General features: G+C 37.9%; 1 long non-coding RNA gene across 1 annotated transcript in view; it reads right to left on the minus strand.

Annotated features, from left to right (window-relative positions):
• Positions 1–477: 477 nt before the first annotated feature.
• Positions 478–26,054, minus strand: part of LOC105369793 (uncharacterized) — a 39,321-nt gene continuing 13,744 nt past the window's right edge. Inside the window, exons 2-7 of the long non-coding RNA XR_945013.4 lie at positions 23,464–23,524; positions 22,802–22,864; positions 19,141–19,345; positions 15,328–15,444; positions 13,769–13,943; positions 478–6,196 (exon numbers count right to left, since the gene is read on the minus strand). This is a non-coding gene — a long non-coding RNA (uncharacterized LOC105369793). The remainder of the gene's footprint in view (positions 6,197–13,768; positions 13,944–15,327; positions 15,445–19,140; positions 19,346–22,801; positions 22,865–23,463; positions 23,525–26,054) is intronic.

The following is a 26,054-nucleotide window of genomic DNA, read 5'->3' on the forward strand; positions in this document are numbered from 1 at the left end:
CTTACATAATCCCATATTTCTTGAAGTTTTTGTTCATTCCTTTCAATTCTTTTTTCTCTAAGCTTTTCTGCCTGTCTTATTTCAGAAAGATAATCTTCATGCTCTGAGATTCTGTCCTCCATTTGGTCTGTTTGACTATTGATACTTGTAATTGCATTGTGAAGTTCTCAAGTTGTGTTTTTCAGCTCCATCAGGTCATTTATATTCCTCTCTAAACTGGCTATTCTGGTTATCAGCTCCTATAATGTTTTATCATTATTCTTAGCTTCTTTGCATTAGATTACAACGTGCTCCTTTAGCTCAGCAAAGTTCATTGTTAATCACCTTCTCAAACCTACTTCTGTCAATTCAGCCATCTCAGCCTCAGGTCAGTTCTGTGCCCTTGCTGGAGAGGTGTTGTGATCATTTGGAGAAGAGGCACTCTGGCTTTTTGAGTTTTCAGTGCTTTTGTGTTTCTTCTTTCTCATCTGTGTGGACTTATCTACCTTTGAATCTTTGAGATTGCTGACATTTGAATGGTGTTTTTGTGGGGTGTTTTATGTTGATGTTGTTGTTGTTGTTGCTTTCTGTTTGTTTATTCTTCTTTTGACAATTAGTCCCCTGTTCCCTAAGGCTGCTGCATTTTTCTGGGGGCCCATTCCAGACTCCATTACCTGAATCCCTCTCACATCTGGAGGGGTCATCAGTGAAAGCTGCAAAACAGCAAAGATGGCCTTCCTGCTCCTTCCTCTGGGAGCTCTGTCTCAGAGGAGCACTGACCTGATGCCAGCCTGAATACTCCTGCAGGAGGCGTCTGGAGACCCCTGCTGTGAGGTCTCACCCAGTCAGGAGGTATGGGATAAGGGACCTACTTAAAAAAGCAGTCTCACTACCCCTTGGCAGAGCAGGTACACTATTCCAGGAAGAACCCCCTGTTCCAGATTGCCCAGACTTTTCAGAGCCAGCAGGCAGAAAAAACTAAGTCAGCTGAACCGTAGAGACCACAGCCGCCCCTCCCCAAAAAGCTCCATTCCAGGGAGATCAACGTTTCATAAAACCCTGACTCAAGATGCCAAAACTCATGCAGATTGGCCTGGCCCAGTGAGAGGGATGGATTGGGGTCTCACTTAAAGAATCAGTCTGACCACGATCTGTAACAGTAGCTGTGCTGCAACTGTGGGGAATTTCTCTTTTCTGGACTGCCCAGACTCCCTGGAGCTGGCAGGCCAAAACAGCTGACTTGAGCCACAGAGATGGTAGGCACCCCTCCTCCAACCCTCCCCAGGAACTTGGTTGTCTCACACAGTCTCCAGCCTGCTGGCCTTGGCTTGCTGGAATCCCAAGGCAGTAGGTATTAACTTGTGAGGTGCCATGGGAATGGGGCTTACTGAATGACACTGCGTGCCTCTGTGGCTTCAGCTCCCTTCCTAGGGGAATGGACAGATCTCCTCCCTCACTGAAGTTACCAGGGCTGGAGTATGCAAAAACTCCTGAGTCTCCGTGCTTGCCCAAGTGGCTGCTGAGAGTCTGCACAGCTCTCTGCTTCATACCCAAGGCTGTGGTAGTGCAGGCTCACAAGGGAATCCTGATCTGCAGGTTTCAATGATCTGTAGGAAAAGTGTGGTTTCCTGGGTAGAGTCAATCACTCACTGCCTCCTTTGGCAGGGGGTAGTGGCTCCTCTGGCTCCATGCCACTCATGGGTGGGCCATCACCCTACTCTGCCTTTTCTCACTGTCCAAGGGTCATGCTGAACACCTAGTCAGTCCCAGTGTGAGAACCGGGATACCTCAGTTGAAGGTGTAGAATTAACTCACTGCTTTTGTTCTTCTCTGTAACAACTGTGGACATCAGCTGCTTCTAATTGACCATCTTGGCCTGCCCCTGGTATTTCTTTATAGCAATACAAAAATGGACAAATACAAACTTTTTAATATCCATTTAGTTTTAACAATTTTTCATATTTTTTGAATTTAAAAGAACCTTTAAATAGCCTCTAAATAAGACAAAATTATTTTTCCTTTAACAAAAGCCACATTTAATGCCTTTTAAAAATAATCTTCCTTATTAAAAAACATTCCATCTTTCTTACACATTTTGCATATTGAATTGTTTCTCATATCTAGTAGTTTTAATTGCATAAATTAATTACAATGTTAACTCTTAGTAACCCTTAATTTTGGTGGAAAACTAAGGAAATAAGCAGTTTTAATTATGTAACAGATGCAGAGCTCAGGACAAAAAAACAGAGTTGTGAAGACAATGTCTGGAGGACTTAACCCTTCCTAGCATGGCCAAGAGGCACAGCTAGGCCAGGAAGAACTTTGGGTATCTATTTCCAACACTCACTCTGGCCACTAGTCTAGTCTTCAGAATCTAAAAGCTTAAAACCAAGACATAAACTTACAAAGTAAGTCAATATCAAAAGTATCACTGAATATTTATCAGAAACATTCTAATCCTATCAAACGAATATATCCAGGCAAAAATCTCTAAATTAAATTTTGAAAACATTTGTATTATATTTTACCAGTAATTTAAAAACTGGCTTTATATACCAAAGATTACTAAAGTCATGTGAACTTTAAAAGAATTTGAGATTATTTACTTAATCTATGAGTACTCATATACTTACAAGTTAATTTGATATCATGCAGATAATATACAAACAGATGTGTATGATATGTATACACATATATACATAAAAATACAGAGAAACACAAAAAAACTTATAACTTTTATTTTAAAATTTTATCCAGGAGGCAGGTAAAACTTACTCGTTTAAAAGGGCAGTTGGATTTAGATTTTGCTTTTGTAAATAGAAAAGATTAAAGTTTATCTGTCTCATATGGCCCACGCACTCACCAAGTTTTAGAGAAGAAAAGAGTAGCAAATTTCTTTATCAAGACACAGAAAAAAATAAAATTTTTTAAGAAGGAGTTTGGATTTGTTAGAGGGAGATTAAAAATGGATGCCAAGGTAACATAAAATCATAGAAATTAATCACAGGATTTTACACAAAAACAGACAAGTGACTCTAGAGAAAATTTTAAAACCTTTTCAAAATAACCAGCTGAATACCAGAAAGTCATATTTTGGAGAGCAATCTAGTTAGATAGATGGCTTTTAATTTAGTCTGTTTTCTAACTGCATACCTGAGCTCAAGGCAGAGTCCATTAATGAATACAGTCAACCAAGCATTTGCAGTTTCTAGGGCCTAATATTTAATATATAAAAAGCAGGCACAACTGGAAGGTAGAATACCCAGATCCACATAAATTAAAGATTTTATTTTTACACTGGATTCTAGGTCCCCACAAAGAGGAAAACACCATGCATGAGATTAGGCCGTGCAATGTTCCCACAGTATACCTCACTAAAAAGAGATCCCCCACAAAGTTGGTGCATGACCCAATGCCAGTCAGCCCACTATGATTAGCTCGTCGCCCATGGGAGTCTTATACATTGGTGGTGAGCACTCCCATATATTTCAAGTGTTCAAAGCATCCATTTCTTATCTAAGGTGCCAAGAAGTGCATATCCCCTTTCAGTAATAACTATTTATTGCAACCACTGTCAGCCACCTCTGAAACTATAGCCAGTAACCCACCAGCCATTGCACATACAAAGGTTTCCTCTTATAGTACAAAGTAACTCCTGGTACTCCCAAAAGCCAAAGAGATCAGGTGATTCAATGCAAAAGAGAGCAAAGCTGTAAACGAGGGCAAAGTAGATTTTCAGGATCCACTAGGAAGAAGAGAGAAGACCCCAGAATCAGTGTGTGTGGTGTCTTTTTCTATTTTCTTCTAGGTATTTCAGGGTTGTTAGAAGTCTCTTCTAGATTTCTTCATGTGGTATCAAAGATGGCAAAGAGGAAGGAGAGGCAAGGAGTAGAAATAAATGGGGGGGAAATTAAAAAAAAAACAGAAAACAGAGGGACAAATTACATAATCTTAAAAAGGGGTTCAGACAACTGAAAAAAAAATTCAAAAACAGATCCAAAATCAGAAAGACCTTGAATATCAGCTTCTAATTAATATGACTTCTGACAAAGGAGCACTTTAAAAAAACTTTTAAAAAGTCTCTAAGTATCAGATTTTAGCCGGGATAAATAGTTGATATCCCTGATATTACTGGCTTTTGAACCTTATTATTTTTACCAACGTTCCTCTTCCCAACAATAAATGGGTCCTCCCAAAAGGCAAAAGTCAGAAAATATCAAATGAAAGGGGTCTGGCTCTTTAACTGGGAATTGAATCCAGGCCATAGTGATGGAACAGAATTGTATCTTCTAGATTACAAGGTAGGGCAGCTTTCATTGTCAGTTCTGTGTGGGGTCTAAAGCAGGCAGTCTGAGCATATAAAGAATTTTAACTTTGTTTTAGGTCAGGTAGATTTTAGCATTTTAATTTAGTCAAAAGATTTTCTATCATGACACTATTATATGTTTTTCTATTAATTTGATGTCTCCATAAATACAAATAAATAAAACAATTTTTTAAAATGAGAGATCTCTAAAAACTTTTTTTTGTAATTTAGTAGTCTGTCTAATGTAAATGATCCACTAATGATTAGAATTTCCAATAGTGTACTTATTCCAACGGTGACTCAACCCAGTGGCAACTTCATAGAAAGCTCAGGGTGTAATTTTATAGGTTTAGAATAAGACTAAATTGATGTTTTTTGGAGAAGGCATAGGAGAGGCAATCCCAAAGATCTCTCTCCAGAACTTTTGCTTCAAAGAATAGGTTAAGATAGCAAAAGTCTCTTGTTGCCACTGATGGTTAAGGATGGTGTTTATGTGTACAGGGCCTGGTTACCCACAAGTTTGTGGGTGCTGCTCATCATAGATCTGTCAATCCATGACACCAGCTAGGCCCTCCTGGGATTAAACATTTCCTGGACTAACAAGGCTACAAGAGTTGAGATGACAAAAGTTCGTGGGAATGGAATGTCTTAAGACAAGCTCCCCTGAGAGCATGACACATTCAGAACAAAGAGTGTGTTGCATAGAATCTTATGTGTCTTGGATTCCTAATCTTTTCAGATTGGCCACCAGATGTGACCCAAAAATCATTCCCCTCCCCCTAGATGGTGCAGAGCCAGAGTGTTCCCACTGTGTCAAAAGTCAAGCCCTCAAAGACATAAAACAAGACAAGAGGGGAAACTCATCCAGTTTTTATTTTGGGGACAGACAGCAAATTTTATATACCATTCTGATCAGAATGGCAAAACTGACTGGTCTGCAGGGCCAGCTTGAGCAATGGGATTATAGTGGTTTTAGGCCTGTGTTTTACCCTATAATATCCCTTTTATGACAGAACAACATGGAAAAACAAAGGAAAATACTGTGTATTAGTCAAGGTTCTCTAGAGGAACAGAACTAATAGGATACATGTATACATAAAGGAGAGTTTATTAAGGAGTATTGACTCACACAATCACAAGGTGAGGACCCACAAAAGGCCCTCTGCAAGCTGAGGAGCAAGGAATACAGTCCGAGTCCCAAAATCTCAAAAATAGGGAAGCCAACAGTGCAGCCTTCAGTCTGTGGTTGAAGGTTCAAGAGCCGAAAAGCTGAAGAACTTGGAGTCCAATTTTTGAGGGCAGGAAGTATCCAGCATGGGGGAAAGATGTAGGCCAAAAGACTAAGCCAGTCTAGTCTTTCCACATTTCTTTGCCTGCTTTTATTCTAGCTGCACTGGCAACTGATTAGATTGTGCCTATCCAGATTGAGGGTGGTTCTGCATTTCCCAATTCAGTGACTCAAATGTTAATCTCTTTTGGCAATACCCTCACAGATACACCCAGGAACAACCCTTTTCATCCTTCAATCCAATTAAGTTGACACTCAGTATTAACCAACATAGTCTGTTTTGGGTATGATAGGAATCAAACAATATGAATATTTATACCATAAAATATACCAGCATTGCTATACCCAAGACTACTCACACAAATTTTTTTCTCCTATTAATCAGAACTTTGCAGAGAAAAAGAGAGACAAATAGTGGGTTTTTAGCGTCAGCTCAGTCAAATTCCACAGGAAGAGAGACCAGGAGCCTGGCTGGTAAAAATTCTTACCTTTCTGTTGGCTTGTCAGGTCCTGGGTTTCTTTCACTGTGGCTCCCTGAAAAGCAGAGCAGCTTTGATGAGATCCTGTTCACAGTGCCAAAACTGTAGGGGTGAAGGGCTTCCCCTTAGCCCTCTGAAGGTTTGCTGAAAAGTCAGTTCACAAAAGGAAATGAATCAGTAACATGGCATACAAATTTATTAACATGCACATGAGAAAGAATCATAGAATGATTACCTCACTTTCCTCACCCCACACCCTCACCACTTGAAGTTCAGAAGCTCATATACCATCTTGAGGTTACAGAAAGAATGGGGACTTAGATCATGCAAAACAGGTAATAGTGACAAAGAAGGTTATAAAAAGAGAAGAAGAGGAGGCCTAACTAGCGAAGGTGGTCTTGTGTGTCTGGCTGGCAAAAGTTGTCTTGAGAGGTGAATGAAGTCTCACAGCCCTGAGAGAAAATAGATGGTAAATGTTTACATCAGACTTTTAAAGGTGTCAGACTCTCAGTTAAACTTCCCTAGATCCAGATGAGGGAGGCTTTCAGAGAAAGCCTGGCTGCATCAATGCAGATTCTCTACAGATGCAAATCTCCCCCTCAAAAGGCAGTTTAGCAGGGCTACTTCTGTTTGCATGTCCTCTGAACAGCCATCTTGAAATATGTCAAAGTAGTATATTTTGGGATAAAATATTATTATTTCTTTCAAGATCACAAGGGCAGAGTCCTGTGAGTAAAATTAGTGCCATTATAAAGAAGTCCTGGAGAGGCTTGTTTGCTCCTTTGCTGACCCCCTGTATTAGTCCATTCTCATGCTATATATTAGTCTGTTCTCATGCTGCTAATAAACACATACCTGAGACTGGGTAATTAATAAGGAAAGAGGTTTAATTGATTCACAGTTCAGCATGGCTGGAGAAGCCTCAGGAAACTTATAATCATGACAGAAGTGGAAGCAAACATGTCCTTCTTTACATGGTGGCAGGAAAGAGAAGTGCCAAGTTAAGGGTGGGAGAGCCCTTTATAAAACCACCAGATTTCATGAGAACTCACTACCATGAGAACAGCATGAGGGTAACTTCATTCATGATTCAATTATCCCCACCTGGTCCCTCCTATGACATGTGGGGATTATGAGAACTAAAATTCAAGATGAGATTTGGGTGGGGACACAGCAAAACCATATCATTCAACCCCTGGCAATTCCCAAATCTCATGTACTCCCATTTTAAAACACAATCATGCCTTTCCAACAGTCCCCCAAATTAACCCAAAAGTACAAGTTCAAAGTCTTATCTGCAACAAGGCAAGTGCCTTTGACCTATGAGCCTGTAAAATCAAAAGCAAGTTAGTTACTTCCTAGATACAATGGGTAAATTGGGTAAATACGTCCATTACAAATAGGAGAAATTGGCCAAAACCAAGGGGCTACAGCCCCCATGCAAATCCAAAATCTAATAGGACAGTCATTAAACCATAAAGTTCCAAAAAGATCTCCTTTAACTCCATTTCTTACATTCAGGTCACGCTGATGAAAGAAGTGGACCCTTATGGCCTTGGTCAGCTCTGCCCTTGTCGCTTTGCAGGGTACAGCCCTCCCCCTGGCTGCTTTCATGGCTGTTGTTGAGTGTCTGTGGCTTTTTCAGGGACATGGTGCAAGCTGTTGGTGGATATAACATTCTGGGACCTGGAGGAGAGTGGGCCTCTTCTCACAGCTCCACTAGGCAGTGCCCCAGTGGGGACTCTCTGTGGAGCCTCCAACCCCACCTTTCCCTTCCACACTGCCCTAGCAGAGGGTCTCCATGAGGGCTTCAGCTCTGCAGCAGACTTCTGCCTGGACATCCAGGTATTTCCACACATCCTCTGAAATCTAGGCAGAGGTTCCTCAACATCAATTAATGACTTCTGTGCACCCACAGGCCCAACACCACATGTAAGCCTCCAAGGCTTAAGGCTTGCACCCTCTGATGCAACGGCCTGAGCTGTACCTTGACCCCTTTAGCCATGGCTGGAGCTGAAGCAGCTGGAACTCAGGGCTCCATGTCTTGAGGCTGCACAGAGCAGGGGGTTCCTGGGCCCAGCCCACAAAATCATTTTTCCCTCCTAGGCCTCAAAGCCTTTGATGAGAGGGGGTGTCGTAAAGGTCTCTGAAATGCCCTGGAGACATTTTCCCCATTGTTTTTGTAATTAACATTCAGCTCCTCATTACGTATGCAAATTTCTGCAGCTGGCATGAATTTCTTCCCAGAAAATAGGTTTTTCTTTTCTTTTGCATAGTCAAGCTGCAAATTTTCCAAACTTTTATGGTCTGCTTCCTCTTGAATACTTTGCCACTTGGAATTTCTTCCGCCAGATACCCTAAATCATCTCTCTCAAGTTCAAACTCCAACAGATCTCTGGGGCAGGGGCAAAATGCTGCCAGTCTCTTTGCATAGCAAGAGTGACCTTTACTCCAGTTCCAAAGAATTTCCACATCCCCATCTGAGACCACCTCAGCGTCGACTTCATTGTCCATATCACCATCAGCATTTTGGTAAAAGCCATTCAACAAATCTCTAGGAAGTTCCAAATTTTTCCATATATTTCTGTTTTCTGAGCCCTCTAAGTTTCTAAGAAGTTCCAAACTTTCCTACATTTTCCTCTCTTCTTCTGACCCCTCTAAACTGTTTTAACCTCTGCCTGTTACCCCATTCCAAAGTCACTTCCACATTTTTTGATATCCTTAGAGCAGCACACCACTATCTGCATTACCAATTTACTGTATTAGTCTGTTCTAATGCTACTAATAAAGACATACCTGAGACTGGGTAATGTATAAAGGAAAAAGGTTTAATGGACCCACAGTTCAGCATGGCTGGGGAGGCCTCAGGAAACTCATAATCATAGCAGAAGGGGGATGCAAACATATCCTCCTACACACGGTGGTAGGAAGGAGAAGCGCCAAGCAAAGGAGTAAAGTCCCTTATAAAACCATCAGATCTCGTGAGGACTCACTCACTATCACGAGAACAGCATGAGAGTCACCACCCCCATGACTCAATTACCTCCCACCAGGTCTGTCACATGACACAGGGGATTTATGGCAACAACAATTCAAGATGAGATTTGGGTGGGGACACAGCCAAACCATATCACTGCTCTAAAGAATCGCTGCTCTAAAGAATTGCCCAACAAGGACTTCATGTCTAAAACACCAAAAGCAATGGCAACAAAAGCCAAAATTGACAAATGGGATCTCATTAAACTAAAGAGCTTCTGCACAGCAAAAGAAACTATCATCAGAGTCAACAGGCAACCTACAAAATGGGAGAAAATTTTCACAACCTACTCATCTGACAAAGGGCTAATATCCAGAATCTACAATGAACTCAAACAAATTTACAAGAAAAAACAAACATCCCCATCAAAAAGTGGGGGAAGGACATGAACAGACACTTCTCAAAAGAAGACATTTATGCAGCCAAAAAACACATGAAAAAATGCTCACCATCACTGGCCATCAGAGAAATGCAAATCAAAACCACAATGAGATACCATCTCACACCAGTTAGAATGGCAATCATTAAAAAGTCAGGAAACAACAGGTGCTGGAGAGGATGTGGAGAAATAGGAACACTTTTACATTGTTGGTGGGACTGTAAACTAGTTCAACCATTGTGGAAGTCAGTGTGGCGATTCCTCAGGGATCTAGAACTAGAAATACCATTTGATCCAGCCACCCCATTACTGGGTATATACCCAAAGGACTATAAATCATGCTGCTATAAAGACACATGCACACGTATGTTTATTGCAGCATTATTCACAATAGCAAAGACTTGGAACCCACCCAAATGTCCAACAATGATAGACTGGATTAAGAAAATGTGGCACATATACACCATGGAATACTATGCAGCCATAAAAAATGATGAGTTCATGTCCTTTGTAGGGACATGGATGAAATTGGAAATCATCATTCTCAGTAAACTATCGCAAGGACAAAAAACCAAACACCGCATGTTCTCACTCATAGATGGGAATTGAACAATGAGAACACATAGACACAGGAAGGGGAACATCACACTCTGGGGACTGTTGTGGGGTGGGGGCAGTGGGGAGGGATAGCATTAGGAGATATACCTAATGCTAAATGATGAGTTAATGGGTGCAGCCCACAAGCATGGCACATGTATACATATGTAACTAACCTGCACATTGTGCACATGTATCCTAAAACTTAAAGTATAATAATAATAAAATAAAAAAAGAAAAAAGAAAAAAAAAACGAATTGCCCAAGATTGGATAATTTATAAAGGAAAGAGATTTAATTGACTGACAGTTCTGCATGGCTGAGAAGTCCTCGGGAAACTTATGATCATGGTGGAAGGGGGAGCAAACATGTCCTTCTTCACATGATGGCAGGAAGAAGAAGTGTGAGAACCAAGCAAAGGGGGAAGCCCTTTATGTAAGCATGAGATCTCACCCCTTATATAAGCATAAGATCTCATGAGAACTTACTATCACAAGAATAGCATGGGGGAAACTGCCCCCATGATTCAATTATCTCCAGCCAGCTCTCTCTCCAAACACACGGGGATTATGGGAACTGCAATTCAAGATTTGAGTGGGGACACAGCCAAACCATATCACCCCATTTCACCCTTGGATGACATAACAACAAGATGCTGTCTATGAAGCAGAGAGCCCTCACTAGACACCAAATCTGTTGCCACTGTGATCTTGGACTTTCCAGCCTTCCGAACTACGATCAATAAATTTATGTTTTTTATTAATTACCCAGTTGAAGGCATAGGTTATAGCAGTCCAAGTGCTCTAAGACGGTGTCGTTTTCCACAGTAGAGATTATTTTTGTAGGTTATACAAATACTTCTGAAGAACATTTAAAGCTACATGTCAGTCATACCATAGTGTAGGCATAGATATGTAACAGATTTATCCCACTCTCTTCCACTCTGATAACTAAGAGTAGATTTGAATGGAGGGCTGAAGGAGGAAGGCAAAATTAAAAGGATAAATAGAGCATAAAATACTATTTTGGAAGGGCAGAAGTGGGTAACCGATGGCATGAGCAAGAGCATTAGACCTCAGAGAAAGAAGACACAGGTAGGATGAAACACCAGTGATAAGTTTCACTCACAAATAACACAATTCAGTTAAGTTAGCTCTAGCTTGAACACAAAGGGTTTTTGTCTTTTTATTTTTTATAAAACCTATAAATAATATATTATTGGCCAAAATATTTTGCTTAGTTTGTTTGATGTGAAAGTCTTTTTTTTCAAAAGAGCTCATGTTTTTCACATGTTACTTCCCAGCTTACTAATTTAGTCCAGTTAACTATAGACACTACATATACATTCTCATTTTTTTAAACTATTGAGAGGAAAAAAGACCTCCACTATTCTAAATATTTGGTATTTCTTCTCCAAAGATTCTACCATGAACAGTATGCAATTCTAATGTTTTATAATCCCTAATACTCTGTAAAGGAAAGAACAAAATTTTGGCTACTAGAAATCTCTCCGTAATGACACTGTCATCCTGAAGGAGTAGTGAACAGTGAGAGAGGCTATTTTCCAGGGGGTCTTGGTAAAATGAGCTACATCTCATTTTATAGCAGGTATTATCTTTTGCCTATTCAATACGGAAATGAGCAATCTCATTTAGCAAAGTTTTGAATGCTTTATTTCAAAACTGCAACTGCATGAGCCATAGAAATTATAGCAGCAGTCTTCTCAATCTCAATTCAAATGTCATTGATATTTGCCTTCACTTACCTTTTTTTATTCTTTGAAAGCATAAACTCTATCTTCTCCTTTTTTTTCATCCTAAGTACCCATATGTAGATTTCCCTGAGAAGAACAACTTTACTTTATCTGTAACCTTTTGAAATACAGTATGGTAGTACTAATTCACACACAAGTTTGTAAATTGTCCATGATTCTAAATTGTGTCCTATAGCACCCTTAATTAATGGCTGAATTTAATGTGTTCCTTTTTAGTTGTTCTATACCTAGTCCCAGCAAAGTCATGGAAAGGTCTCTAAGGAGATTAAGAATTAACACTTTGAGTAATAACAAGAATATGGAATGAAATACAAAGGTAAGAAGAGAGAAGATAAGAAATACAGTTTTCAGCAAATGTTATCCCCCAAAATATTGTTTTAGCAAAGTTTTCAATGCTTTAGATGAATCTTTATCTCACTCCATACTGCACTCAACATAATGTCCAGCTCAAAGGGCATTTCATATATGCCTATTGATGACACAGATATGATGGTTATTACCAGAACAAGAAACCCAAATTGCCAGGTTTTATTACGCCCGTTTTTGTGTATTCTCTCTCAAATTCCTAAGTTATTTAGAATAACAGAACATTATAATTTCCTATTTATACTATGGGCCAAAATGCTATTGTTTTTAACATTCTCAACATCCATCTCTGGACAATGTTTATTGAGATCTTGGATGATCATACGTGGAGTTGGGTAATCCTCATCTTTGAAAGTTCCCATTTGCAAGTACTCATATATACTTCCTGGGAAGGTGAATAGGTTCGCGGTAAAAAAGGACATTCTCTGAAGTGTAGTAACATAAAAATATTTCTGATGCATTACAACAATCCCATTGAAACGTAACTTCAAAAGGAACACCAGTGCTCCTGAGAGGGAACACCATAAAATAGCCTGGACTAATGATGTAGCTGCAATCCCAAGACCAAAGTGTGTTTGTAGGATACAGTTAGACTCCAGCAGGACTTGCACTGACAGTGGAATCCATGCTGGTCTAGTCTCCGTGACACCTTCTGCAAATTTTGTGGAAACACCAAGGGCAAAATCCCCAAACGGACATAACACCACTGTTGGCCCCAGGGGGTGCGGCAGTACATCCCTTGGCGAAATGAAAGCAGGATCATTCTCTTTTCTACCTCACTAAACCTGGGCATGTAACTTGCAGCAGAAGCCACAGACTTCTGCTTTTTCTACTAGCATCAGAGCCCTGTCTTCCCCACAGACACAGTGACTCCTCAGGCAAGTGAATCCCCTTGATTGCGGCAGCACTGCCTCTGGCCAACTAAGATATTTGTGATTTTCATCCCAAGTTTACCACAGACCTCCAGGTGAGAAACACATTCCTAGGTTGATGAGTATCTTTAAGGTTTGGATAAAAAATCGGACGAATAAACCAAGGAAAAGGGTGATTTTTTTTTTTTTTTTTGACTATGTAATAGGTGGGGGCTTAGAGCAATGAGACCTGGAGGAAAACGTAAACATGGCCTTGTCTGATACTGAGTTGGCTGACTGGTATACCTAAACTTTTCGTCTCCATAATCCAACCTGCAAGAACTCTGGAGGTTATCTGGAATGAAAACAAACTAACAAATAAAACTAACGGTACTGTAGAGTTTTACTTGGAATTATAGTAAATTAAAATGTCCACTCAGTGGTACATCTGTAAAGAAGTGCCATTTTTTCACTTGCCCTAGTTTTCCTGCAAAGTGTCTGTGAGCAAGTCTAGTAGGGCTTAGTACACCAGAATTGTCCCAACCAACCTTCCTGCAGAGGAAGTGCACATCCCTCAAACTGAATACTGATCTCCATGAGTTTATTTTCCTCTCTTCTGAGACCATCCTGCTCCCATTGGCCTCTTTCAGCTGATGCCTCAAAGCCATGATTCTCATATTGAGTAGTCTGACATTCCTAAAGCATTGACTCACCTCTCCTTGCTTACTGTCACCACCTTTCCTCTTGCTCCTCCCTTCATCCAGGTGCTGTGTTCTTGATCACCTTGTAGACAGTCATTTCAAGCTTCCAGCTTTCTCCAGCCAATCCATTGACCCCTTTCCTAATGGCACTTCTAATTGCATGATGTTCAGTGGATTTTTTTTCTTTCTAATTTTAAAGGACATGAAATTGGAAAGGTGTAAAGAAAATTGCTGCATTTTAAAATAAACAAAAGGCTATCACTAATTTGGAGTTCATAACCTTTATTTTTTTTCTATGTTTATGATCAGAAACTTTACAAAAACCATTCTGATTTTGTCATTATTTTGGAAAAATAATTACATACTAAATAAAAACATGCAAAACCTTGTTAATTTGTGTCACATAGGTTCCTTTTTTTCTTGGGTATGGATAAATTACATCTTTTGGAAAAGATTTAAAGGAAAAAGAGAACCAAAATATCTATAATCAAATATGTACCATAAACCTAATAATTAGAAAATATAATAGTGCAGCAAAAAAGTAAAAATAGTATGAGGTATGAGTAATGAGAGGATAGCATTTTTCACAAGACTCAGTCAAAGTTATTAGCTCACTACACCTCCATGCCAGAGTAGCCAATAACACAAGATCCTGTTATCTTCACATGCCAATCCCACCAAAGCCTAGAGAGAAATGACAAGTGGCATTCACTGCAGGAGACTAAATGAACATTTGAAGAGAATGAAGCTACCTTGATTCAAGGATCACATGGATCTGTGCAGTAGCAAACAGGAAAATATAGGCTAGTGCTATATAAATATAGCTGATGAAAACTCCACATCTTTAATATCTGAATTGTACAGACAATTACAGACAGACAGCATAAAACTATTAGTACCTCGGATAACAAGGCTGACACAAGTAAATGATCACATCAGTGTGGTAACCAGGCTTGTTTGCAACAGACAGCAGGATTAAAAAAACAACCAAACTCCATATTGTACATACAAAGATGAGGATAGAGGCATTTAACATATGTAATCTAAATTAAATATGGCTCTAATTTTCAAGTGAGGAAGGTATACCAAATTGCTATTGCAAAGATATCCAGAAAGCAATGGTTCAAATAAGATAGAAGTTTACTTCTAAAAAGACTGGTGTGCAGGCTCCATTCCTTCAAGCTGTCTAGGGTTCAGGTTAGAAGAACAGCTCTACTACCCTCTGGGCATTGCACAAGTGAGTTTCCAGCCAGAAATACCAGTGAAAAAGAGATAGAGGGCATGAAAAAGACTGTTAAAGCCCAGTCCAAAGGACTTTTCATTTCTGCTAACATTCCACTGGAAGAAGTAGAAAGCAGAACTTGGTATATAGATAGTATAATTGAATTTAATAGGAGGGCTACACATAAATAAAAATACATTTTATTTTTGGTTTGAGAGAAATAGATGGTTGGAGAATGTTTGGAGGGATGATTGTCATTTATTAATAGTTTTATAAATATTATGTAATTCATTTGATCTAGTTTGTGCAATGACTGGTAACGGATGTTTTTTCATGAACACATACTTACAGGCCATACTCTCAATTGCTTGTGTCTGTCAGATCCATTCATTTTCACTATTTCCCTACTAATAAAATATTGGAAATGTGGCAGAGGGTTTCATGACAACTCTCAGGATTTCCTGATCTGGGAAAAGAGGGAATATAATATTAATCTTATGGCAATATATCCAAAAGCAGAGTTCAAAGAGCATGTTTAACATGACTCTTTTGAACTAGATCATTTGAAAGTCATAAGAATCCAGGTACTACTCTCTTAGTTTCCCATCACATTGATCTCAGCAACATACAAATAAAGAGAATAGGTTATTCTAAATATATGTGTATATATATATATATAATGACTGTATAACTCTTCTGACCTGTGAGCAGTGGCAGCATCTTTGGAATGCTGTATAGAAACAGGACAGCACCATTTTAAAAGACACTTCTATCAGTATTTCTTAGGATTTTAAGTTCATTTCACTGGCAAGAAACTGCTCCTTTATACCTATAAAAATCAATGTCTTCTAGCACAGTTTTATTTGTATATCAGTATTTCTTATGTTAAGTAGAAGAACACAGTGAGGAAAAGAGCATAGCAAACCCCTTATATTCTGGTTAAAAATAAAGGCTTTGCAGACAGGCCAGTATGTACCCACTACTTGCTAGTTTTGAATCCAGCCAAGTTATTTAAACAGTTTAGGGCTCAGTTTTCTCATCTGTAAAAGGGATATTGTGCATATTTTATAGTATGATTTGAGGATTAAAAGAGAGGATATGCAGAAAGCACTTAGCACAGTACCTGGCACACGGTAAGCAGCCAAAAAGCATTTGACAGTTATTTACTGTTGTTTACACTCTGATTGACCCTGGGTTTAAGAACAATCTTGACCATTGTTATAAATTATTGTAAAATATTGCTGCAGTCTCTTCACAGGTCTACAATCTGAATGTCTTTCATTAGTATTTAAATTGATAGTAAATATGTACACTTCTAAAGCATTTCAAGATTATGTTTTCCTGTATGTTTCAGCGGTGACTGATGGTCAAAACATCTGAGACTCCCTATGCCTGGGAAACTGGTAATGACGCTTATAGAGCTTATTGAAAGTGCCATTTAACAAAATATATTAGCCCATTCCAAATGTCATCTCTACCTCTATTGTATTTCAAGTTAAACGCCATGCAAAAACAGATCTAAAAGGCTCCATTACTTGCTTATTTTCAAGGGCATGAGGAAAAATGTCACCAGCTTACAAAGCAAAAACTAGAGTCTCTAACTAGTGCCTCAGACAAAATGGCGGAAAGCAAGCTAAGCACAGAACAGTCACTGGTAATGATTCACCACTTATCAGGAATAATTGACATTTCGTGATTTCCAAATCTTCTTTCAAAATGTAATCTGTTCATTTCATTATTTTATGGCATCTTTTTTGTATCCATTACTTAACATTTCCTTCCACACTCAATGGGGGAGGTTTCTCTCTCCTGAAATGTCACCCTACATAAATAAGTGTAGTGCAAGCCTTCCATCACTGTAATGGTTAAATGATGGCAAAGCTGAGCAATTGAAACAGAAAGAGAAGTCACCTTGACAGTCCTGTAACTGGGAAAAGCAGCTTAAGGCACCAGAGCTTTTACTGTGAATGAGTTGAACAAGTTTATATCTATTCACCAAACAAAATATATTTAAATAATATTCCAGCATTGAGACAAATCAAAGAAACTCTTTTTGGAGATTTTAATACTCTATTACAATAAAACATACTTTTGAAAATAAAGAAAAAAGAAATCATAGTTTCTCTACATTATGCAGATTATTGATGTCACTCTGGGAACTTTTACAAAAGAATGTGGCTAAAATAAAAAAATAGGTGAGGTGTTTGCTATTGACCTTTAGTATAATTTCTAGGAATTCTTCAGGGTTTAGGTTTTGCTTTGTTGTTGTTATTTTTTAATATCTTATAATAGGTATTATAAAACCATTTAATTAGGCAATCTGGTATATCTGGGAAGTTCTGCTATCCAAAATAGACATTAGATAAACATAAATAAAGGCCAAGAAACTTAGAAAATAATGATGCCTCTTTAATATACAGATTACTGGAGCGGGATTTTTTTCCTGAATTAAACACGTAATTTTATTAAAGTGCAATTTGGCATAACTATTACATTTTTAAATATTGTCCTTATTATTTTTTGCCCACTCCAGGAAATGACAGCACTTCACTTTATATAAAGTGAAGTTAATTTTTAGATCACTTTGAGTCACAAAAATGTAGAATATTTTATAATTTTTAGTTGGGGCAAAGACTTCATTTTAATGATTTGAACAGAAATTAAACTGCCACCTCAATGCTATTGACATTTAAATCCCATGTGAGAAATACTGCATGATCCAACAAAGAAAATTAGAGCGCTTTTTGTAAAAAATTAGAACTCTCAGTCTTAATGTTTATTGCCTAGCAAACAGACTTTTCCTAAATGTAATGAAATGTAATGTGTTCCTGCTTTGATGCATTAACATTTCCCATCACACTTTCAATGATGTGGTGATTATTGCTTTAAAATTAAGTTAAACTTTGGCGTGCCTCAAAGTCGAAGTTCAAGAGCTATTTAGTTGTTGTATAAAATTTTTCTGGAAGTGAAAGAAATATGAAAAAAGGTGCTGAGGTGAAGTGATTAGGAATATGCCTTGTGACACCTCACTAGGCAAACAGAGTTGCTTCATGGAATAGTAACAGAGTAACTTGTTTTGATGGATGCAATAGAGACCCTTTTAGTAAATTCAGGTGCCAGGCAAGTAGGGAATATCTGAAATCCCACACACGGACTCTAGATACAAGCTAAGTCATCTTTGTGACAGGTGACACAGAAGGGAATTGATATGATTTGGCTGTGTCCCCACCCAAATCTCTTCTTGAATTGTAGCTCCCGTAATTCCCACATGTAGTGGGAGGGACCCAATGGGAGGTAATTGAATCATGGGGGCGGGTCATTCCTGTGCTGTTCTCAGGATAGTGAGTAAGTCTCAGGAGAGCCAACGGTTTCATAAACGGGAGTTCCCCTGCACAAGCCTTCTTGTCTGCCGGCATGTAAGTCATGCCTTTGCTTCTCTTTTGCCTTCCACCATGATAATGAGGCCTCCCAAGCCATGTGGAAATATGAATCCGTTAAACCTCTTTCCTTTTTAAATTACCCAGTCTCAGGTACATCTGTATTAGCACCATGAGAACAGACTTATACAGCACTGCTCACCTGTCATTGGAATTTCCAGTAACACCTGATTTTTCAGCTAGGAATCCCTGTCCAAAACAGTTCTTCCCAATAGCTTATTGCCTATGCATAGGAAGCTTATAGTTTCTCTCTAATTTTAGAAACACACACATTCACAGATCCTCACATGTTGGGTTAATAGGATTTTTTTTTAACATCTTACCATTTAGACTTACTACTCTTTTCCTTCATTTAAAATACAATAAAAACAAAGTTAATGTCATAAGCCTCTAGCCATAGCACTGAAAAATCCAGAACCACCTACTGGAAAATCAAGAGATGAAATTTTTAAATTTGCCTGTGTTCTATTTATATATATTTGTGGTTTCTGAAGTTTAAATATTTATTTACCGGTATATATCAGTGGTGATTTTATTTACCAAATTAAAAATAATGTGGCATAGTGTGACACATACAAGCATACTTATGAAGAAAATATAAGAGAACTTTTTTGAAATGAGGATTTCTTTTTTGTAATTTCATTTGCTGTTACGGTATAAGTGGTTTTTAACTACATGGATGAATTGCATAGTGATTAAGCCACAGAATTTGGTGCATCCCTCACCTGAACAGTGTGCATCATACCCAATATTATTCCTCATCCCCTCCAAGTCGGCTGCTTTTGACTCTCCAGTGTCCATTATACCGTTCTGTATGCCTTCGCATACCCATAGCTTAGCTCCCACTTAAAAGTGAGAACATATGGTGTTTGGTTTTCTATTTCTGAGTTACTTCACTTAGAATAATGGTCTCCAGCTCCATCCAAGTTGCTGCAAAAGACATCATTTCATTATTTTTATGGCTGCATAGGATACTGTATATATACCACATTTTCTTAACCACTCGTCAGTTAATGCACACTTAGGTTAGTTCCATATCTTTGCAATTATGAATTGTGCTGTGATAAGCATATATGTGCAAGTGTCTTTTTGATAGAATGACTTTTTTTCTTCTGGGTAGATATCCAATAGCAGGATTGCTGGATTAAATGGTAGATCTACTTTTAGTGCTCTGAGAAATTTCCATACCATTTTCCATAGAAGTTGTACTAATTTACATTCCCACCACTGATGTATAAGTGTTCTCTTTTCACCACATCCACACCAACATCTATTACTTTTGACTTTCCGATAATGACCAATCTGGCTGGGGTAAGATGGTATCTCGTTCAGGTTTTAATTTGCATTTCCCTGATGATTAGTGATATTGAGCACTTTTTCATGATTTTTGGCCATTTGTAGATCTTTTGAGAAATGACTAATCATGTCATCTGCCCACTTTTTAATGGAATAATTTGCTTTTTTCTTGCTGATTGGGTTGAGTTCCTTCTAGAGTCTGAATATTAGTCCTTTATGGCATAAATACTTTGCAAATATTTTTTCCCATTCTGTGGGTTGTCTGTTTACTCTGATAATTATTTCTTTTACTTTACAGAAGTTTTTAGTTTAATCAAGTCCCATTTATTTAGTTTTATTTTTGTTGCATTTGCATTTGGAGTCTTAGTCATAAATTATTTGCCTAGGCCAATGTCCAGAAAAGCTTTTCTTTTAGAATTTTTACGTTTTCAGGTCATATATTTAAGTCTTTAGCAAAATGGATTAAAAAAAATCACAAAGTAAATATCTGCTGTCTTCAAGAGACTCACCTAACACATAAGGATTCTTTTAGACTCAAGGCAAAAGGGCGGAAAAAGATATTTTATGCAAATGGAACCCAAAAGTGAGCAGGAATAGCTATTCTATATCAGATAATACAGACTTTAAAGTGACAGCAGAAACAATGACAAAGAAGGTCATTATGTAATGATAAAAGGATCAATCCAACAAGAAGATATTACAATTCTAAATATATTTGCAGCTATCTCTGGAGCTCCCAGATTCATAAAACAGTTACTACTTGACCTAAGAAAAGTGATATATAGTAACACAACAATAGTGGGGGACTTCAACACTGCACAGAAAGCACTAGACAGATCATCAAGGCAGAAAGTCAATAAACTGAAAACACTGGACTTAATCTGCACTCTAGAATAAATGGACCTAACAGATAATTACAGAACATTCTACCCAAGGACTGCAGAATATGCATTCTTCTCATTAACACATGGAACATTCTCAAAGATAGATTATATGATATGCCACAAGGCATATCCCAATAAATTTTTAAAAATCAAAATCACACCCAGTATCTTCTTAGAGCACTGTGGAATGAAACTAGAAATAAACTCCAAAAGGAACCCCAAAAACTACAAATATATGGAAATTAAACAGTCTGCTCCTGAATGACTTTTGAGTTAACATTAAAATCAATATAGAAATTTAAAAATTATTCAAAATGAATGATAATAGTGACACAAGTAATCAAAACCTCTGAGATACAGCAAAAGCAGCTCTAAGAAGAAAGATTATAGCACTAAATACCTACATCTAAAAGTCTGAAAGATCACAAATCAAGGAACATCACACCTCAAGGAACTAGAGAAACAAGAACAAACAAAACCCAAAGCTAGCAGAAAAAAAAGAAATAACAAAGATAAGAGTAGAATGAAATGAAACAGAAGGAAAAAAATACAAAAGATCCATGCCACAAAAGTTGGTTCTTTGAAAATATAAATGAAACTAATAGACCGCTATCTATTAATAGATTAACTAAACTAAAAAAGAGGGAAGATTCAAATAAACTCCAATAGAAACGAAAATGGTGACATTACAACTGACACCACAGAAATACAAAAGATCATTCGAGACCACTGTGAACACCTCTCCACACACAAACTGGGAAATATAGAAGAAATGGATAAATTCCTGGAAACACACAATGCTCCTTTGCTTGCATCAGGAAGACATAGAAATCCTGAAAACATCTATAACAAACAGTGAGATAAAATAAGTCATGAAAAAAAAAAGGCCAACAAAAACAAAAGCCCATGGCCAGATGTATTCACAGCTAAATCCCACCAGATATTCAAAGAAGAATTGCTATCAATTAAACTAAAACTACTCCAAGAGATAAGAGAGAATCCTCTCTGACTGTGAAGCCAGTATCACCCTGATAACAAAGCCAGGATAGGATGTAACAAAAATGAAACCAGAATTTCCTTTCGAAAATGAAGTATATTGTTTCCTGGGCCTTATTGTGCCTTGTGGAGGGGCTATGTCTGGGCAGGATACTGGCAGGGCCAGTCCCAGACTGAACTGGGGTTTTATCCCAAACCAGATCAGAGTAAAAGGGTAAAAAAATTGAATAAGTATGGATGTAACCATCAGCCTAGGGTTGAACCTGGAAGTTCCATCAACATAAGCATTGATATACTTTGCTGAAAGCAAATTCTTAAAGAGCCAAGCCTGACAATTGTCTTCATATTTCAGTGACCTTTTAAAACTATTACAATAAATCCATAAAACAGCTATAAGCTGCTATACTATAATAGAGCCAATGGATATCCTGACATTTTCCCCTCTGTATTATCTTTTTTGGTTCCATAAGCAATGCTATAAATTTTAAGTACAACTACTCTTTTATAGAAAAAAGTTATTTAACATAAAAATCAGCCTTCAGCATTGTTTGACCTCAATATTACAAAATTATAAATTCCTTTATTCTCAGCTAAGCAATGTTCAGTTTCTTGTATTCTACACAATTATTTCATTGTCTTTATCAAGCCAATGTATACCAGAAAAGCAAAAGATGCAATAAGCTTCTTCTTAGCTTCAACTATTTGAATCATTAATTAAATTCTCTATTTTACTTGGCATGTGTAAATAAAGCCACTGATGACTGTTTAACTATCTTTCTTTAGATGACATTCTTTCTCTGGACTTATGGTCCCTGATGAAGTAGCCCCTGTGTCACTTTCGATTGCCTTGTCTCTACATAACAAATATCATGATTATCAGTTTACTATTGGATTGATTTAAAACTCCAGGTTAATGTTTAGGTCTACTGTAGTATACATATTTTTGCATAGACTAGATTGACAAATAGAAAAATCCGATTTCCTCAAATTATCAAGACTCATCTACATGGTAAGACACCAGAAGCAATTATCGTTTCAACCTGTTCCACAGGAAAGGAAACAAAATGAGTTTTGTCTTCTGGCATAATTGCTTATGACTTGTCCCTACAAAGCTTTACAAAAGTGGAAAGGTGGTAAATGCCCAGATAATCTGATCAAAGCATACAATCATAGAAAATTATTTTTCACATCCCTTCTTATCCAGACTTACATTTATAATACTGAATCCATTAATTCCCAGGTTTCTGCTTTCTCAGCTTCTTGAAGATAGATTCTAAAAAAAGAAAAGAAAACTTATTATCCAGTCCACTGGTACCCTAGAAGAAGCCCAGTGTGAGTTAAAGGTACAGTTTGTCCTTGCAATTTTAGTATTTGCAGATCTATTAAATATTATAAACAGTTGGCCAGGCACGGTGGCTCACGCCTGTAATCCCACCACTTTGGGAGGCCGAGGCAGGTGAATAACAAGGTCAGGAGTGTGAGACCAGCCTGGCCAACATGGTGAAACCCCATCTCTACTAAAAATACAAAAATTAGCTGGGAGTGGTGGTGCATGCCTGTAGTCTCAGCTACTCAGGAGGCTGAGGCAGGAGAATTGCTTGAACCCAGGAGGCAGAGGTTGCAGTGAGCCAAGATTGCACCACTGCACTCCAGTCTGGCGACAGAGCAAGACTCTATCTAAACAAAAATTACATGAATGCTTGGTTTTTGAATCTGGATTCTTTCCCTGTCATCATATCTCAAATGAATTTACTGTTCTTACAGAAAACTTTCCATTAACATTGGTGACAGAGAGAAAGCCAAGGACTTTAAATAATAGAACTCAAAACCAAACGGGCTCTTGTATTACACTTCAGAACAGGTCTTCCTTACCAATGGTGCCACTGCAAACAGGTGACTACCAAAACAGCAAGATACACAAAAGAAACATCTCCTGGTGAAATAACAGACGGAAATATTATATAAATATTATGTAAATAATACATAAATATTCCTGTCAGTTTTTATATATAGATGACAATGACAATAGTATATCAAAATATTATACAATTAGATGACAATAATATATTAAAAATCTCACAAGTAGTAGAGAGCAAACCCTCAGTAACAAGAAAAATTGAATTAAATTTCAACGCTTTTAGTTTAACTGATTTGAACCTGGATATATACCTGTTTTCTCTGGTGATTTTAATTTTGGTGAAGAAATAAAAGTTTCCATTATCTGAATATCCCCTTATTTTACCTTTTATCCTAGTAGAACAAAAGTACTTTTAAAATAAATGTATTGTTTGTGAAACTGCCCAATAATAATAATGAGGATGATAACAACTTACCTATCAGAACCTGCCTGACTTTAATTATTTTGCTAAATTCTCGCAACTGCTGAATTTGATGTCATTGGCCTTATTTTAAAGATGAAGAAATTGGTACTTAGAGACCATTAATAACTTGTACCAAGCAGTGGATCTAAACTGGAACCCAGGTCTTTCTGATTGCAGATTGCAAGCTCTGAACTGCTAAGCTAGACACTTGTCTTTTTAAAGTAAGAATTCTTCCACTGAGGGAGGTCATAGCTACAGGAAATTCAGCAGCATCCTCTCTTCTGCAGAAGAATTATGATTTCTGAATTATGAAACTCACTGACTAGACTCTTATTGGAAAAAAATCATTAGAGATGACAACCCTCCTGTCCAGGAGGCAAGTAAATGTATTGTTTCAATAGAGAATATGTTGCGTTTGTGTCTAAGACAGTGATAATTACGTCACTCCCTAATGCATGGAAAAGAAGCCTTTGCTGTTTCTAGTAAGCTGTTTACAGCAAGAACTTTATAGAATATAAATATAGTGTCTATTATATAGCATTTTCTACCAATAGCATCATTGTTCCCCTCCATATGTTCTTCCGCTAGGTGTCTAATGAGTTCCTACGTATGAAAAATGACAAGAGAATCTGAGGAATAATTCAAGCAACTGTGGCATATGGAAACTGTTTTCTAGTCCCTTTGCCATGATTTCTAGGCAAAACAGCAGGAATACTTGGCAGCAGAGGCTAGAAAAATCATCATCCCTGACTGCAACTTCGACTGAGTTATCTGGCGTAAATGTCAGGCTTTGAGTTGACAGTGATAATGATAAACAAGGCAAAATTTCTGTCAGAATTTGATACATACATTCTATTGTTCATTCCATAGTGAATATTTCTCTGCCCCTAAGCTTAATTCCACGAGTCTATGAAAGGAGTCATTAGGACTTTTGCATCCAGTGCATTTAGCTTTCCTTCATTTATAAAGCTCTCTTGTGTTTCTGAGTGTTGTGTGCTCCTCTGAATTCTTGTGAGGTTTTGCCAGATAAGCTTTTTTCAATAAGACAGTTACCAATCTATAGTTCTGCTTCTTCTCCATTCAAGGAAGGACACCATAACACTTTTGAGACAAGGTAGTAGAGAGATGTAATATAGTGAGATGTGATTCTTCATCCCCTTTATCCTTCCTGATCCTTAGACGTAATGATTGTGCAACTGTAATTTATTCTGCATTCCACCTACAGACATGTATCTACTCATCAATTTACCCATTCACAAATATATTGAGGACACTCCTAGACAGAACAAGTCAATAATTCCTTCCACCATACATTGTTCAGTGCTGCCTACTAGTATATACATTTACTTATTTAACTACATGCCGGTACCCAGTTTGGACTTAGGCATTTATGACAGTAACAGAATTGATACAGTCTTCATTTGGTATTGCCACTATTTTTGTTTATTTTTTTAAATTTTAAGTTCTGGGGTGCATGTGCAGGATGTGCAGGTTTGTTACATAGGTAAATGTGTACCATGGTGGTTTGCTGTACCTATAAACCTATCACCTAGGTATTAAACCCAGAATGCATTAGCTATTTTTCCTGATTCTCTCCCACACCCACACCCTCCTGCAATAGGCCCCAGTGTGTATTGTTCCCTCCATGTGTCCATGTGTTCTCATTATTCAGCTCCCTCTTACAAGTGAGAACATGAGGTGTTTGTTTTTCTGTTCCTGCATTAGTTTTGCTGAGGATAATGTCTTCCAGCTTCATCCATGTCCCTGCAAAGGATATGATCTTGTTCCCTTTTATGGTTGTGTAGTAGTCCATGGTGTATATGTACATTTTTAAATCCAGTCTACCATTAATGACTGAATTTGGGTTGATTCCATGTCTTTGCTACTGTGAATATTGCTACAATGAACGTGCACATATCTTTAGAATAGAATGATTTATATTCCTTCGGGTATGTACCTAGTAATGGGACTGCTGGGTCAAATGATATATTCAGTTCCAAATCTTTGAGGAACAACCACATTGTCTTCCACAATGAATGAACTCCCATTAACAATTGCTATGAAAAGAATAAAATACCTAGGAATACAGCTAACACAGGAAGTGGAGGACCTCTTCAAGGTGAACTACAAACCACTGCTCAA

The sequence above is a fragment of the Homo sapiens genome, chromosome 12 (genome assembly GCF_000001405.40).
Source record: "Homo sapiens chromosome 12, GRCh38.p14 Primary Assembly".
NCBI lineage: Eukaryota > Metazoa > Chordata > Mammalia > Primates > Hominidae > Homo > Homo sapiens.